General features: G+C 37.9%; 1 annotated feature.

The window, feature by feature from the left end:
• Window positions 3,173-3,292: an enhancer, noted in NCBI's record as "active region_25173". NCBI's record gives its function as "activates an Ori minimal core promoter by ATAC-STARR-seq in GM12878 lymphoblastoid cells {active_cell/tissue: GM12878}" and the evidence as "EXISTENCE:reporter gene assay evidence [ECO:0000049][PMID:35858748]".

The raw sequence follows: 3,535 nt of genomic DNA, 5'->3' as shown, positions 1-3,535 counted from the left end.
GTATTTTTAATCAATTGGCAGAGGGCATCTAAATAGGCTGACAAATTTGCACAGATATTAAGCAACTGACAGGGCAAACGTAGGCAGTGATATGGTTGGGCTATGTCCCCACTCAAATCTAATCTTGTATTGTAGCTCCCATAATCACCACTGTGGCATGGGAGGGACCTGGTCGGGGGTAATTGAATCATGGGGGCAGTTTCTTCCATGCTGTTCTCATGATAGTGAGTGTTCTTACAAGATCTGATGGTTTTATAAGAAACTTTTCCCCCTTTTGCTCAGCACTTCTTGCTGCCACTGTGTGAAGAAGGATGTGTTTGCTTCCCCTTCCACCATGAGTGTTAAGTTTCCTGAGGCCTCCCCAGCCATGCTGAACTGTGAGTCAATTAAACCTCTTTCCTTTATAAATTACCCAGTCTCGGGTATGTCTTTATTAGCGGCATGAGAATGGACTAATATAGGCAGAAACCCACTAAACCCAATAGGCAACATCTGAGTCTTTAATATAAAATGTGCTGTACTTGCAAAGCAGTAGAAGCCATTGGGCAAAAATTAGCTTCTAGGTCAAAACCTAATGCTTAAGACATAGTCAGGAACAGAAGTTTGATACATGAAAGACAGCAATAGTGTTGTAGGTCTATATTACTGTTGCAGAAGATGACTCTAAGTACCATTCGATAAACTTATTAAAAACTATCAGGCCTCCCATGACATTTTATATTCTCATAAAACAACACAAATGCTAAATTAAGTTTGAATTTGAATTAGCAAAGAATAAGAAAATCAATTTAAGTGTTCCCAATGCACCTTCAACCCTTGCACCCTTGCTTTGCATCTGTATATTTCATTAGTATATTTTGTTACATGATCATGTAATATTTATGCAGTAACATAATATGCTCTGTACATCTACGATTAGAGAAAAAGTGCAGTTCTTTTCCATTATTTTGTGCCCTTTATCTGCTGAACACTATGTAACATTACCCAGGGTTTGGTGATTATGTAATGAGGACTCCTATTGTAATACACGCTGCACAGTTGGAGGATTGCTGTGGGAAACTTAACTCTGCAAATCCTGAGTTTGGGAACAATTAAAGCCTTGATTTTAATGTTACAGTCACCTCATTTTTCCCAAAATATTTTGCTTTTTTCTTCTTAAAACCTGTAAGTACTGCAGTAGAAGAAATGTAACAAGAATTATAGAAAAAAGTTCCACAGAAGATGAAATAACTGCCATCTGGTGCACAACAGATGTGTGTTCCACAAAGTTTTTTTTTCTTTCTTTTGAGTTCTCCTATCCAAGTCCTGGCCAGACCCAAGCACTGTGTCGAGCTTATGAGATCTGACAATTTTACAGCCCCAGGCTGAATGACTGCAGGCTAGTGTTTTTCCTAGAATTCACTGAGGCCCCAGGGAATAAACTAACAGGTTCAAGAATGATACTGAAATGTTATTCTCCCCCAAAAAGCTGTGAGGAACTGCCACTAATTTCCTTCATAAGAAATAAAGTCCAAAAAAATTTCAATAGAGGGTCACTACAGATTTTGTGCCTTAGAAGAGAGATATTCAAGACTTGGTATCATTAGCAGATGCTCTCCCAGTCCCAGAGAAAGGAATCACCTGGAGGGCACATTGTATCTTTTATCCAAGTAAAATTGGCCCAAACTGTTTACCCAACATTTGCACAAGTGCAACTTTACTGAAACTGATAAAACTACCTGCTCCCTAGCAGCCTTCACAGTTCCTGAAATTTCTAGGGCTGGTGATTTCTATTAGAAAGTACTGAAACACGTGAAAAGCAAGTAGAAGTTTATAGTGCCATTACCTTTGTGATTTTATAAATTGAGATGTAATTTTTTTAAGATTCAATTCCAAAATTAAAATTCAAATGAAGTCATTTTTAATGAGTTCATGGAAATGATACTGTCTTTATACATTTTGGTTTACTCCCACAGCTCAAGTGTTGCTTAAATCAGCTCTCAGATTTTGCCATGGTGCTTGTTCATGGGTCAGATAAGCCTGTTCTTAATGCATTGTGATCATAATGTGCTTGACATGCCCTAAGACTTATAACAGTCCAATTTTTTTCTGTGAATGTGACCTTTGTCTCTCTGGTTTCCACCTACCTGGCACCAGTGAGCTCAAATAACTATAGGTGACAATAATAGTAGTCTCTAGCTCTAGATAAAACAAACGTAATGGCTGAAATTCCCTGTTTACTAACATACCCTACATTTTCCACTTCTTTGGATATGACCCTAGGGTGTCCTAGTTTCAATTGGTGGTCATTATTTCTTTTCTCCTTAAAGCCACTGTTTTTAGAAACTTATTTCCTTAGTGCCTCAACCATGGTGAAGTTCTGGATGCTGCATTGAGGAGCTTCCAGATATTCTCATGCATTGTGAGTGATTTGTCTCCTTTCTTGATTTACCTTCTCCCTTGCTATTGTTTCTAATGATGTGGTTTCATCATACAGTGAGTGAGTTTAACATTTGCCACTGTGTCATTGAAGCCACATTCATTATGTCATCACCATCAACTCAATTCATCTTTTCTCCCCTGACAGCCTACAGTAATGGATCCCAGCCTGCCTACTTAGTAGTTGGAAGAAACCTACAGCATTAATTCAAGATAACTTGCTTGCTATTTGGTCAGGTAGCTAATGTGTTCATAAAACACAAATGTCCATTAAAATAATCACTTATGGAAAATAGTCCATTATAATTATGTATGTATGTCAATCAATAAACATGTTTTTAAAAGCTAATTTAATTGGAAATCAGTAGGACAAGGCCTATTATTGGCAGCTCAAATAGAGTGGCTTTGAGGTCTAAGTCCTTGCAACAGCCCTAGTTTCACAACACTTTTATTGTACTAATCTAGCAGTCCGACTCTGAAAACCTGAGACAAGTTCCGTGGGGGGGATGGAGAGGAAAGGGGAAAGAAAACTGAAAGCAATATAATTTTCTGTACCTATTTGAAACAATACTGAGAGCAAAGCAAATTTAACTCAGCTACTTGCTCCAGAAACTACTTGTTTCTTAAAGATAAGACTGAACCAACTAAACAGGTTACTTATAAAGACTAATAGCTTGTTTATAATGAATAGCTTCAAGACTCTGGCTTCTCTGAGCCCATTTGTCTAAATCTATTCTCTAATAAACTCTCTTCAATCCCAACCAGTACTGTTTCTTGCAAGATCTGACTTAAAAAGTCCTAGCCCAGGCCCTAAAAGTCTATTTGATATCTTACCTTGAAGTTCACCTTCTGAGACACTACTAAGATTTGTCATGGTGGTATTCTTTCTTTTTCATAAACAGGTATTTCCAGTGAACTTCTAAGGAGTCAACAGTTGACAAACCAAAAGATCCTACCAAGACCCAATCAAGATCCCTCCTTTACTGCATACATGAAGATCTGGAGAAATACATTCCCCTGAGATTTCTTGATCCTCTAAATTGGGATCGAGGGAGTGTCTCTGACCTCAAGATTGAGGTATGACTTGAATTGGGTCTGAGCTCCAATTTTGTTTTGT

The sequence above is a fragment of the Homo sapiens genome, chromosome 6 (assembly GCF_000001405.40).
Source record: "Homo sapiens chromosome 6, GRCh38.p14 Primary Assembly".
Classification (NCBI taxonomy): Eukaryota; Metazoa; Chordata; class Mammalia; order Primates; family Hominidae; genus Homo; species Homo sapiens.
The sequence above is the reverse complement of the archived record's forward strand: the minus strand, read 5'-3'. Positions and strand labels throughout refer to the sequence as shown.